This window comes from Homo sapiens, chromosome 15 (genome assembly GCF_000001405.40).
Source record: "Homo sapiens chromosome 15, GRCh38.p14 Primary Assembly".
NCBI classification, from domain to species: domain Eukaryota; kingdom Metazoa; phylum Chordata; class Mammalia; order Primates; family Hominidae; genus Homo; species Homo sapiens.
Genome location: NC_000015.10, coordinates 67,156,710 through 67,170,047, shown reverse-complemented (window position 1 = coordinate 67,170,047; position 13,338 = coordinate 67,156,710). Strand labels below are relative to the sequence as shown.

At 49.5% G+C, this 13,338-nt stretch overlaps 1 protein-coding gene across 11 annotated transcripts in view, besides 3 other annotated features; it reads right to left on the bottom strand.

Annotated features, from left to right (window-relative positions):
• Positions 1-13,338, bottom strand: part of SMAD3 (SMAD family member 3) — a 129,568-nt gene that overhangs the window by 25,122 nt on the left and 91,108 nt on the right. For 7 of the 11 annotated variants that reach the window (NM_001407011.1, NM_005902.4, NM_001407013.1 and 4 more), the window contains exons 2-4: positions 4,960-5,153; positions 4,664-4,795; positions 3,195-3,269 (exon numbers count right to left, since the gene is read on the bottom strand). In NM_001407011.1, the coding sequence (NP_001393940.1) occupies positions 3,195-3,269; positions 4,664-4,795; positions 4,960-5,153 (401 nt within the window). Of the gene's footprint in view, positions 1-3,194; positions 3,270-3,356; positions 3,518-3,854; positions 3,888-4,663; positions 4,796-4,959; positions 5,154-13,338 lie in introns of those variants that run through there. The other 4 variants (NM_001407012.1, NM_001407015.1, NM_001145104.2 and 1 more) reach the window with 3 other exon arrangements.
• Positions 1,184-1,853: an enhancer, noted in NCBI's record as "H3K4me1 hESC enhancer chr15:67460533-67461202 (GRCh37/hg19 assembly coordinates)". NCBI's record gives its function as "activates a minimal SCP1, AML or CMV promoter by ChIP-STARR-seq in naive H9 embryonic stem cells {active_cell/tissue: H9 hESC(naive)}" and the evidence as "EXISTENCE:reporter gene assay evidence [ECO:0000049][PMID:30033119]".
• Positions 1,854-2,525: an enhancer, noted in NCBI's record as "H3K27ac-H3K4me1 hESC enhancer chr15:67459861-67460532 (GRCh37/hg19 assembly coordinates)". NCBI's record gives its function as "activates a minimal SCP1, AML or CMV promoter by ChIP-STARR-seq in naive H9 embryonic stem cells {active_cell/tissue: H9 hESC(naive)}" and the evidence as "EXISTENCE:reporter gene assay evidence [ECO:0000049][PMID:30033119]".
• Positions 2,526-3,195: an enhancer, noted in NCBI's record as "H3K27ac-H3K4me1 hESC enhancer chr15:67459191-67459860 (GRCh37/hg19 assembly coordinates)". NCBI's record gives its function as "activates a minimal SCP1, AML or CMV promoter by ChIP-STARR-seq in naive H9 embryonic stem cells {active_cell/tissue: H9 hESC(naive)}" and the evidence as "EXISTENCE:reporter gene assay evidence [ECO:0000049][PMID:30033119]".

Below are 13,338 nucleotides of genomic sequence, written 5' to 3'. Positions count from 1 at the left end.
GCAGCTCAGGTGCTGGAAAGATCAATTTCAGGAAACTCACAAACCTGCCTCAGAAACCCTGCAACTCAGCAACCAGACAAACACTTTATGCAAAAGATGATGATGCACGTGGGAAAAAGTCTCAATCTACCCAATTCTTACTCTATTATGTTCTCTACACCTCTCACCTCCAGAAAAAAAGAACTCACATGGTATCAGCCTTCAAAAATAAAACAGTGGACACTTTTCCAGAGCAGCATCCTGCTCGTCCCCGCTCCTCTGTTCCTCTATCAAGAAGGCTGCGGAGGCCGGGTGCAATGGCTCACATCTGTAATCCCAGCACTTTGAGAGGCTGAGACTGGGGGATCACTTGAGCCCAGGAGTTTGAGACCAGCCTGGGTGATATAGGGAGACCCTGTCTCTACAGAAAAAAAAAAAAAAAAAAATAAGCCGTAAGTGGTGAAGGCTGAGGCTGGACAATTACTTGAGCCTAGGAGATGGAGGCTGCAGCGAGCTGTGTTTGCACCACTGCACACCAGCCTGGGCAGCAGTGAGACTGTTTCAAAAAATAAAAATAAAAAAGGAGACTATTTGTTAACCACCCTATGGGGTCTAATTCCACCCCATGAAATCTATCAGTCCTGAGACTGGGTCCAGCATCTGGCCTCAAGTGAATGCTGCCTTGCGCTGTTTGTGGGAATCTCTTCTTTTGCCCCAACTCAGCTGTAACCTCCTTGAGGGCAAGGGAAGAACCACGGATTTCTCCTTCTCCCCTGTAACCCCAAATGCAAAGGGGGATGTGGAATATTCACCGAGAGAACTAAGTTACAGAATCAGTCACAGGGTCTAGACAACCCCACGAATCAGCTACGTGAGTTTGGCTAAGCCGTTTAACTTCTATGAGCCTTAATTTTTTCCTCAGGTATAAAATGAGGATAATATCATCTACTGTGTGACATGTAAAAATTAAGTAAGACTGTGCATATAAAAATGCTTACACCATGACCGCTACATGGTAGGCACTGGATAAATGCTTGTCCCCTGTTTTGTGCTGGCCTGAACCACAAAGACCTAGGAAGTCCAAGGGGCCTTCTCACAAGTCTAAAAGGGCGCATATGTAGGTGAAGGGACATGGGGAACAACGTGACCCTCTGGCCCGAGACACTACCACACCCTGGGGGGCAGGGAAGCCAAGCCCGTGAGCAACTGGACTATCCAAGCAGGCAACTCTGAAGAACAGAGACTAAAACAGGAGAGCCCCCACCCACACACTGGCTGGGGTCCGCAAGTCTGGTCTGTCTCTACTGTAGATAAATCACTCATGTTCACAACAGGACCCTGCAGGCACACTTAATGAGAAGAAAGGAAGAAGGGAGAGGGGACAGAGTAAAGGGAGGCACAAGGAGGAAGAGGAGGGAGAAGAAACAAGAGCTGACAGGGTGAAATCTGGGCTGCTCTTTCCAATCTCCAGCCCCTCTGGTCCATGTTTGTTTGTAACAATAATCATTGTGCAAATATGGAGAGCAGCAGAAAGGGAAGAGGGAGCGCAGAGTGGGAAGAAACACAGCAGCTGGAGACATGCTGCTCCGCTGGCCTGCTTCCCACGCCTGCACTGAATAGCTGCAAGCTTGCAGCGGTCACTTGGCATCGGATACAGGAAGGTCTTCGATGCATTCCAGCTGGTTCGCGCTACTAGTCACTCCGCCGGGTGGGTGTGTTTCACCGGGTGTGCTCAACCCAAAAGTGCCACGATGTCCAGGCTGGATTTCAGCAACTACAATGTACATGCGAGTCTCTTTCGGTCTCTCAGGAATTGCACAACCTCAGCCAGGTGCGGTGTAATCCCAGCACTTTGGGAGGTCGAAGCGGGCAGATCACCTGAGGTCAGGAGTTTGAGACCAGCCTAGCCAACATGGCGAAACCCTGTCTCTACTAAAAATACACAAATGAGCCGGGCGTGGTGCTGCATTGCCTGTAATCCCAGCTACTTGGGAGGCTGAGGCAGGATAATAGCTTGAACCCAGGAGGCAGAGGTTGCAGTAAGCTGAGATCGCGCTACTACACGCCAGCCTGGGCAACAGAGGGAGACTCTGTCTGGGAAAGGTGGGGGAAGGAATTGCACAATCTCTTCTGGGCTGTGTGCGAGGGCAGGTGGCTCTGCTGTGTCTAGCGGCTCTGTGTGTACGAGGCATGCCCACCACCATCGGAATGGAACATCTGCGTGGTTCCCTCTCCCCTTCTCCTCCTCTCCCAACCACACACAACTCAGTACACATTCTATGTGGCAGCTGGGGTTCAATTCAAGAAGCTGCTGGTCTGGAGCCAATTTGGTCCTATAACAAATGATATGGGAAACATCTGGAGATGTAGCAGGAGAGAAATAAGCCCTGCCCCTCACGGCAGGAGCACACACATCACATGTGGTTGTCACACAAAAATACTGGCTTCAGGGGTCTCCACTGGTCATCAGAAGAGGCATTAGTTCCATTCAGCCTCTCCTTGCCTCCCATGTGACTGCTTGAGGTGATCAAGGCCACTCTCTACCCTGCTGCTGGTGACATCTCACTAAGGCACAGGCCCTGCTTACAGCCTGCAGCGGTTCCCATCAGCCCTGACTAAATGCCAAGTGGTCTGGCTAGCTTGAAGGTCCACCACACTGGGACCCCTGTGTGGCAGGCCCTCCCATCTTCTCCCCACTGGAGAGAGTGTATCCTCCAGCCACGCTGAGCTCCCTGGGCTAGACACTCTCTGGACTCCAGACACACTGAGCTCTTACTGTCCCCAGAATGCACCAGGCTGTCCTGCCCAACCCCCATGACTCTGCCTGGCACACCCCTTGCCCACTCTAACAGCTTGGCTAACACTTACACATCACCAAGACTCAACCTGGGGAAAAACCTGGACTGCAAGGTGCTGCTCCTCCCCAGACCGGGTGAAGTGGCCCTGCTGTGTGCCTGGTGCCATGCGGCATCTTCCATCAGGGCATACACGAGATGGCCCAGTGACTACTGACTGTCCTGTCAATCTCCCCCATCATCTGTGAGCAGCTCGGACCCTCTTCTATGCCCTGCCCCTTGCACATCGCGGTTGCTCTACAAATACTGGAGAGAGAGATAGAAGGGAGGGAGGGAGAGGGCGAAGAGGAAGGGATGGAAGGGATGAACCCACCAGCTGCTAATCAGTTAAGAATAAGAGCATGACCCTGCATGACTGACCTGCGTCCATGCTGTGGTTCATCTGGTGGTCACTGGTTTCTCCATCTTCACTCAGGTAGCCAGGGGGTGGGGTCTCTGGGAATCAGAAGGAAGGTGGTCTGTTAAAAGGCCTTCACAGCTTGGCTCTGAGACACCTTTTGCAAAGACATCACACATGCACACCATGATGCTAGCATCCGTGGCTGTAGGAGCTCCAGGTCTTGGAGTAGAGGTTCCAGCTCTTGGTTCTGTTGTCCTCGCCCCTGTCCACCTCTGACTCCCGCTTGGATCATAACTGCCTTTGCTCACGCAGGACCGGATCAACTCCCAAGTCTGAAATGTGTACTCCTAGAGCCTCTGCCAGGCTAACTTATCCTGGTCCTTCAAGGTGAGGGTTAAGCCCCACCCCCTCCAGGGAGGCGTCCAGACTTGCCTCCGCCTCACCCCTTTCTGTCCTCTGAAGATCTGCAGGCTCAGACCCACCCTTTGGTCCCTACTATCTTCTTCTGTGCAGACCAGGTGTTATTATTTGTTGTCTCTAAGGGACGTGTCCTCACTCAGCAGTTAGGTTGCAAGTTCAATGACGGCAAAGACAGTGTGATCTATTTCTCTGAAACCTCCCCCAGACCCTGACTGAAGCCCTCCAAGATTTGCTCTTTGAACAGGGAGTAGTTGACTTACCCGCGGGACGCCAGGGCTACCCGCAAAGGATCTGAGAAGGTTGGACAGTGGGTCTCCTCCTTAACACTCTGACCCAAGCACACAGGCCTGTAGCCAATCTCAGCCCAGTAAACTAACCCAGGATGAACGTCACGTCCAAATTAGAATGCTCTAAGAGGAACGCAGCAGGATTACTGCCCCAGCAAGCAAAAGTGACTAGCCCAAGTGCTGCCAAGCACAGCTTTCCTGGAGTCTGAAAGTGCTGGTGATTCACACGTTATTTGCATGTAAATGAGGGGCTTCTAAAAACATTTGCAGTCTTTGACGGCAAAGCCCATTTCTCCCTGCAGAGTGAAAACTCAAAGTCACTTCAATTCCCACCCAGGTTGGAGCCCCTCACCGAGGCCTGATGCCCAGGCGAATTTACAGAGCCAGCTCTCCGCACTTGCTGCCTGGCCCTCAGCTCACTCCCCGCCTCTGCAGACCCCCAGTCTATTGGGACTGAACACCAGTCCGGGCCTCAAGGGCGGTGAGAGAAACAGTGTTGCTATTTCCGCTTCCAAAATAAATGACTGCACCAAGGCCGGGCGGAAGGGTCACGCTGCTCCTCTATGCCAAGAAAAGCATCACTAGTGAGGGGGGAGCTGAGGTCATGGGTCCTCTCCCAACAGGGATGCGGTTCTGAGTCAGGGGCCCTCAGGCCAGAGCTGTGCGCAAAGAGGGGGTGAGCGGGGGACGGCCAGGGGGCAGAGATTGGGGCCACAGGACTGATGTCGGGGCTGACCGCTGCCCCTGCCTCCCAGGCCAGCCTGTGCCGCCCACGTGCCTACCTGGAATATTGCTCTGGGGCTCGATGCCTGCGGGGAAGTTAGTGTTTTCGGGGATGGAATGGCTGTAGTCGTCCAGTGGGGGGAACTCGGCCGGGATCTCTGTGTGGCGTGGCACCAACACAGGAGGTAGAACTGTCCGGGGGAGACAGAGCAGAGGTGGCTCAGTGTCGATGCCAGACCAGCACCAAAGTCCCCGCACCCCCAAGTGCACCGCAGACCCTCGGGGGGATGGGGAGCCGGGGAGAGGTGATGACCCCTGGCACCTGCTGTCCCCACAGGCAGGCCAGGCAGCATACCTGGTGTCTCTACTCTCTGGTAGTGGTAGGGATTCACGCAGACCTCGTCCTTCTTCATATTGAAGGCGAACTCACACAGCTCCATGGCCCGTAGCTCGTGGTGGCTGTGCAGGTCTGGCCATCGCCACAGGCGGCAGTAGATGACATGAGGGAGCCCCTTCCGATGGGACACCTGCAACCGGCCATCCAGGGACCTGCCAGGACGGGGAGGGGCAGAAAGAGAGGGAAATGTGGATTGTGCTTGCTTTCTGCAGAGTCCGGCCTCCTACTTTCAGACACTTGGAAAGCTCTCTCTCCCCTCATTTCTCCCAGATCCAGAGGTCCAGGAGATCAGAGCACTGCTAGCTGAGAGTGCTGGGAGGGATCTCAGGAGAAGACAACAAAGGCCCCGTGAGGACTCCCAGCTGGCAGAGCGGGCCTCACCCACCAGTCCCCGGTGGGTTCCCCAACTTTGTACTGCTCTTCAGGGAGTGGCATTCCATGGGAAGGGCCCGCACTTCAGTCACTTCAGTTGTGCTTGGAAAAGGTCCAGGAGCCACTCATCGGCTTCCTACTCAGCCCAGAGGTGTGGAGAGGGGACAGGGCTGGGGAAGACAATGAGAGTTCTTTAGGCACAGATATGAGGACTACAGTGATCCAAAGAAGAGTGACAAAGTACAAAGGCTGTCTCCCCTCATTCACTCAGGTCTTCCCTTGCACATTAGAAAGTCAGGGGAAAAAAAGAAAACTTGCCTTTCCTCCTCTTTTTTTTTTTTTTTTTTTTTTTTTTTTTCTGAGACGGAGTCTCGCTCTGTTGCCCAGGCTGGAGTGTAGTGGCGCCATCTCGGCTCACTGCAAGCTCTGCCTCCCGGGTTCATGCCATTCTCCCGCCTCAGCCTCCTGAGTAGCTGGGACCACAGGCACCCGCCACTACGCCCAGCTAATTTTGTTTTTGTATTTTTAGTAGAGACGTGGTTTCACTGTGTGAGCCAGGATGGTCTCGATCTCCTAACCTCGTGATCTGCCCGCCTCAGCCTCCCAAAGTGCTGGGATTTCAGGCGTGAACCACCGTGCCTGGCCCCTCCTTTCTTTTTTAGTTATTTGTGGTGAGCAGGGAGTGAAAGACGGAAATTAAAGGGATTTTTTTTTTTTTTTTTTTTTTTTTACTTTTGATACAGGGTGTTGCTCTGTCACTCAGGCTGGAGTGCAGTGGCATGATCTCGGCTCACTGCAACCTCCGCCTCCCAGGCTCAAGTGATCCTCCCAGCTCAGCTTCCCAAGTAGCTGGGACTGCAGGGGCACACTACTGTGCCTACTTACAATTGGCCAGTGCCATGACCCTGTGTGAACCATGTCTTCTATGGTGATTTGGCCAAGCAGCTATGACCCGGTGCCCTTACCTCTCAAGCCAGGCCAAAGTGTGGTCCCTGACCAGCAGCAGAGGTTCAGGGAAGTTTGTTAAAAATGTACATTCTCAGCGCCTACCCCAACCTACTAAATCAGAATCTTTCCCTTTGTGAAATCCCCAGGTGATCTGGATGATGAGAGTCTGGGTGGCTTACAGGAAAGGACTGGGGAGCTTGGGGCGGCAAAAGCATTGTCAGCTACAGGCAAGGCTGGGAGGCAGAAGGCTTCTGGAGGGACGTAAAACTTCAGATAGTGTCTGGTATTAGACAGGTGAGGAGGTGCCACTAAAATGGAGTCCCTTATTTAACACATATTTAATGAGCACCTATTATGTGTGACACTAAGGATACAGTGGTAAGGAAAGAGACTTCACTATGAGAAAAGGCCAGCAAAGTGGTCCCTGTCTGCAGGGACCCTCCATTCCACTGGGCAAGACCGGCATTAATCAAATAATCACCAAAACCACTTTGGGAGGCCGAGGCGGGTGGATCGCTTGAGGCCAGGAGTTCAAAACCAGCCTGGCCAACATGGTGAAACCCTGTCTCTACTAAAAGTACAAAAATCAGCCAGGCATGGTGGCGGGCGCCTGTAATCCCAGCTACTCAGGAGGCTGAGGCAGGAGAATCACTTGAACCTGGGAGGGGGAGGTTGCAGTGAGCCAAGATTGTGCCACTGCACTCCAGCCTGGGCGACAGAGCAAGACTCCGTTTCAAATCATCATCATCATCATCATCATCATCATCATCATCATCATCACAGAAACCTACAATTACACACAATGAAAGTGTCCTGAACGAAAATAACAAGGAACCCCAAGAGTGTATGACCATGGCACCCCACTTTGCTGAAGGACTGGACAGGGCATCTCAGAGGAGGTGATGGTTGACCTGAAGGCCTAAAGGGTAAGTAAGAACTAACCAGGCAAAGGGGTGCGGGAGAAGGGCAGTACAAGCAGAGGGAAAGGCACACACAAAGGCCCTGTGGAAAGTGGAAAACATGGTGAGGTCGGAAGAACAGAATGAAGGCCAGAAGGACTGGAGAGGGGATCATGAGAGAGAGCTGGCTTGAGACGAGGCCGGGGAGGCAGGCAGGGGTACTCTGCAGGGCCCCAAAGGCCATGATAAAGGCTTCTCCTGTTTTCTAAAAGCAGTATGTAGCCTCTGAGATGTGTAAGTGGGCTGTGCATACGTGTGAAAGAGACAGGCCCTGTGGAACTCTGGCTACGTGTGACCAACAGATTGCGGGTAGCAGGGATAGAAGTGGGGAGCAGATGAGATGGATGCTCATGAGTCACAGGTACCCTATTAAGAGGCAGGACTGCTTTTTCTTCAAGGAGGCCCATCCTAGGACCCTGCCAGTCAGTGCCATAATTTTTCTAATAGCTGGCAGGGCTGGCAGTGAGACATTTGCAAGCTTTCCCTCTGTGCCTTCTTATGACCGAGGGCACCCATTTGCCTGAATACAGAGAATTCATGGGCACTCTGTGAAGGAAGGGCTGGCCAGATGCCACCAACAGCACCAACCAAAGAGAGAAACAGAGGGATCCAATCACACTCTCCAAGCCACTGGCCTGGGAAGGGGAAAGGACAGACAAAGGTCATAGCTGGGCTTGGTCACAGGAACTGACCTGGAGCTGCTGACTAAGGGCATCTTGAAGGATGTAATTACCTTCCTCCCTTGGGGCCCCAGAACAAGGAAGCCCTACAGCTGAAAAACAGTAATTACCAGGCAGATCGAGAAGACAGCCTGGGACTCGTCCCTGAGGTATAAAAGGAGGACTGGCGGATGTGGAGCCATAAGACCTGGGGTAAAGGAGGGTTCTACTCTCCTAGCTGGGAGACACTGGGCAGCTCATGAGCTTCCTAGGACACTCAGTTTTCTCATCTATAAAATGGGGTATTCTGCCCCCCGACCTCCTGAAGCTTGGTTTCCATTTGAAAGTGCTTCATAAACACCCACAAATTAGCGTTATTATTCTCTATCACAGCAGATACTCCCCAAACCCAGCCCTGGATAAGTAGGGTGAGCTGGAGGTTGAACAGGAGTAAAAGGGAGAGTGGGAAGTGGTGAGTGGGAATAGAGAATTATTCAGCTGTTCTCCTTCTCCTGCAAAGCCACTGGGTGCCCACAGATTAGGGAAGTGGCCGTATTTGCTCTTCGGTGTTTGACAAAACTCCCAAAAAAGGGCCAGCTGGACATCATAGCCTCCTCTGCAAGAGAAGGCCTTGGAGAAAAGCTCATGCCAGCAGCGGGGGAGAATGGGGCTGTGGAGGTAAGCTCCATCTAGGTGATAGAAGTGGGTGGCCCTCTTGCCTTAGTAGTAATATTAATCATACATGAATCACTTGGATATTAATTAAACTTTTAAAAACAAGGGAGCTACAATAATCAAGGCAGTATGGTAATGGCACAAGGACTGACAAACGGATCAATGGAACCTAACAGAGTCCAGAAATAGTTACATATATATGGACGACTGGCTTCAACAAAGGTCCAAAGACAATTTAGTGGAGCAAGGACAGTCTTCAACAAATGGTGATGTAACAACTGGATATGTAAAAAAGATAATCTTCAAACTACACATTGTAACCCTATACAAAAACAAACTGAAGTGAAACTTAAACTCTAAAATGTCTAGAAGAAAACAGGAGAAAATCTTTGTGACTTTTTGGGATAGACAATGATTTCTCAGATACCACACCAAAAAGCACTTAATAATAATAAAAAAAAAATCAGACCGCATCAAGATTTAAGCCTCTGGTCTTTGAAAGACACTGTTAAAGGAATAAAAAGGCAAGCACTAACTAAGAGAAAATATTTGCAAAGCGTATATTTGATAATAGACCTGTTTCTAGAACTCTGAAAACTCAATATTAACAATTCAATCTTCTTTTTTTTTTTTTTTTTTTTTTTTTTTTTTTTTTTTTTTTTTGAGATGGAGTCTCGCTCTGTCGCCCAGGCTGGAGTGCAGTGGCACAACCTTGGCTTACTGCAAGCTCCACCTCCTGGGGTCACGCCATTCTCCTGCCTCAGCCTCCCGAGCAACTGGGACTACAGGCGCCTGGCACCGCGCCCGGCTAATTTTTCGTATTTTTAGTAGAGACGGGGTTTCATGTGTTAACCAGGATGGTCTCGAACTCCTGACCTCGTGATCCGCCTGCCTCGGCCTCCCAAAGTACTGGGATTACAGGCGTGAGCCACTGCGCCCAGCCAACAATTCAATCTTTTAAAAAAGAGATACATGATTTGAACAGACACTACCCAGAAAGATATGAAGACAACAAGCATATGAAAAGATGCTTGACAATGTTGATCATTAGAGAAGCACAAATTAAAACTACAATGAGATAGGACTACATACTTATTAGAATGGCTACAATTAAAAAGCCTGATCATGCCATGTATTGGCAAGGATGTGGAACAACTGGAACTCCCTTCCACTGCTGGTGCAAATGTAAAATGGTACAACTATTTTGGAAAACAGCTTGGAAGTTCCTTTCTAAAATATTTTATTTTGGGGGATACACAGTAGCTATACATATTTATAGGGTACTTGCGATATTTTGATACAAGCATACAATGTGTAATGATCAAATCTGGGTAATTGGGATATTCATCCCTCAAACATTTGGAAGTTTCTTAAAAAGCTAAAAAACCATAAGCCTACCATATGATCCACCATTCCACTTCAAAGTATTTACCCAAGAGAAATAAAAGCCTATGTCCAAAGACTTGTGCATGAATGTAATAGCCCCAAATTGAAAACTACTCCACATGTATTAACAGATGAATGAGCCATAACATATCCATACAAAGAAATACAACTCAGTAACAAAAAAGGATCAACTACTGATACATGCAACGCTATGAATGAATCTAAATTAATGATGCTGCGTGAAAGAAGCCAGGCATGATTCTGTTCGTGTAAAATTATAAGGTAATTTAAACTAAAGTAAAAGGCACACTAATCTTAATCTAGTGACAGAAAGCAGGGATCAGTCATTGCCTGGGGACAGAGGGAGTTACAGGGAGGGAGTAGGGATTGGAGGGAGCAATTACCAAGGTGCACTTGGAAACTTTTTTGGGGGTAAAGGTTATGTATATTCTCTTACTGCTATGGTGGTTTCATAGGTATATACATATATCATCATTTGTCATACTGCACACTTTAAATATGCAAGGCTTATTATTTATAAATTATACCACCATTCCAAAAAAAGGCAATGGACTTAATAAGCCTCAGTTTAAATAATGGTTCAGTACTTGCTAACTGTACAAAGTTGAAAAAAATCACTTAGTGTCTTGGTCTTAATATTTTTCATCTAAAACACTGACTGGACGTGGTGGCTCACACTTGTAATCCCAGCATTTTGAGAAGCCAAGGCAGGTGGATCACTTGATCCCAGGAATTCAAGACCAGCCTGGCCAACATGGTGAAACCCCATCTCTACAAAAAATATAAAAATTAGCTGGGCGTGGTGACCCATGCCTATAGTCCCAGCAACTCGGGAGGCTGAGATGGGAGGATTGCTTGAACCCAGCAGGTTGAGGCTGCAGTGAGCTGTGATTGCACCAGAGCACTCCAGCCTGGGTGACAGAGTGAGAATCTGTCTCAAAAAAAAAAAAATTCTTTTCCCCCAGAGGGATTAAAAAAATTTTTTTAATGAAATATTAGTAAGAACACTCAGTATTAACAATCCAATTTTTTTAAAAAAAGAGATATATGATTTGAACAGACACTACCCAGAAAGATATTCCAGAAAGTGGCAGGAATCTATTGTCAGTATTGTCATGTAACTATTACTGCCTGCTTACTATGATAGTGGCCGGCAAAGTAAGGAACACGGTAGGTCCTCAACAACACATCTCTTTCCCTGCCTTGGCCATCTGGGTGCACAGTCAGGAGGGTCACAGTGAGTCCTCATGTCTGTCTGGTGCTTTGAATGTTCACAAGGCTTCTGTGTTCCTTATCTCAGATCATTCTCACCACAATGCCGTGTGGATAATAAGGCACATCTTACAATGGTCCCACCTCACCATACACCCATACCTTGGAGAGGCAAAGTGCATGTCGCAGGATCACACAGCAGTCTGTATCAGGGCCATGCCAAGTGGCCAGGACTCCTGGCTGTCAGGCTGGGTTCTGATAGCAAGGAGACAGGCACCTCTCACTCTCCAGCTTGTGAGCACACGACCGCCAGTCTGGCTTGGCAGTATTTTCTAAAAGTCATCTGGACCATGCCCCTGCTTCTCTGTGCCATGCAATTCCCAAACTCACGACAGGGAAGACATCTCATTCACTTCTTACGCATCAGCAACAACACCTCTTGGTTCGGAGTCTGGGCTGCCCAGAGCCCTGGCATTGTTCTTTCTTTCTCCCTCTGCCCCACTCAAAATATGTAGCAATCCTTACCAAAGTAATAAGAGTGAATTGGGAGTTTCAGCTGCTGGATTTAATATAGCTGATGTGTCCAGAACACACTCTCCCAGGCCTTATAGGGCACTGGGCCCATTAAGTAAATCCAATAAATAAGTCTTAATTCTGAGCTGATGTTACCATAAATATACTTGGTTGCAGAAAATGGTCTATTTATGACCCACTCTTCTCCCTGGCCCAGCCCTTCCTCCCAGCCCAAGACCAGCTGCTAGCATTAGGAGTACAGTCTCAGGAACCTGCCGTTGGGCCTCCTCCCCATTTATGACTGAGATCTCTCCCACACCCACTGGCTTCCTGATGAGAGACCCCCAAAGGTCTTTCTCTAGCAACTCCCTCAAGTTCCTCTGACAGAAGGTTTTAATCCTTAAATATATTCTTCCCTAGCAGAACAATTTCCTGTGGCAGGAAATTAGGTTTCCTCCCATTGGCTTCAAGCGGGACCCGTAAAGTGTCCCAAAATGGTGGTGAGAGCCACAGCCAAGGATGTGGCCATGGCAGAGCCCAAAGCCGATGGTGAAGGTGAAGCCTGCCAGAGTGTACCCCAAGGAGAGAGGGTGGGGCTGGGGCCCACCTCATGCCAAGTGCTACTCACGTCTGCACTTCCACCGATCAGCCACTCACAGCCATCTGTGGGACAACACAGAGGCTGGGGAGAAGGTGAGGAGCACAGCACATAAGTTCCAGAAACATGCCAAGATCCATTCAGCATGAACTACGTGCCAGGCACACGACTGCTATGTGAGCACGCAGAAACGGCAACACCCCCAGGACCCTCGCCCAGCTCAGAGAACTCAGGAGGCTTGCCCAAGGTCATATAACTTGTAAATGGCAGAGCCAGGATTCAAACCCAGACCAGGGCTGATACATGGGAGATAGGGGCAGGTTGGATGAACAGCGCTTTTTCTGTCATCCCATGCTGCATCACCATTATTAAAAGTGACCATTCATCAATCACAGCATAGTTATTGAATACCTACCATATCCCAAGAACTGTGCCAGTTAACTGGGCCATAGAAGTGAACAAAGAGTAAATTTGTTAACATTATCACACTTCAGTTGAAACCTATTTTATTGAATACACACACATGCTCTTAATACCGAACTTTCTAGTCACTTTCAGACAAACTTTCTTTTTCAACTTGCCCATTGAGTAGTAATAGTAACAACAGAGGTGGAAGTGACTGCTGCTATGTGCCAGGTACTGTGTTGGCCACTTGATGACTGTGACAGAGTGAATTAGTCACCCCTCTCTGCAGCCACACTTTTTGCTCTGTGGCTCTGCCACTCCTCCTACCATGAGTGGCATGTATTTTCTTGTCCCGTGACTTTGGGGTAGACTATTGACTTGCATTGGCCAGTGGAATGTGAGCAGAAGGGACAGACTGCCATTGTATGTCTCTGCCTGTCCTCTCGTACCTCTGCCATCATCATGGGACTTCCCTCTCCCACCCGCCCACCCCCAGGCAGCTACTGCCCCATAGGCTGGGCCCAGAAATGAAAACATGTGGAGCAGACCTAAACCAAATCTGTAGCAAGGAACCAAGCCCAGGTAAGCC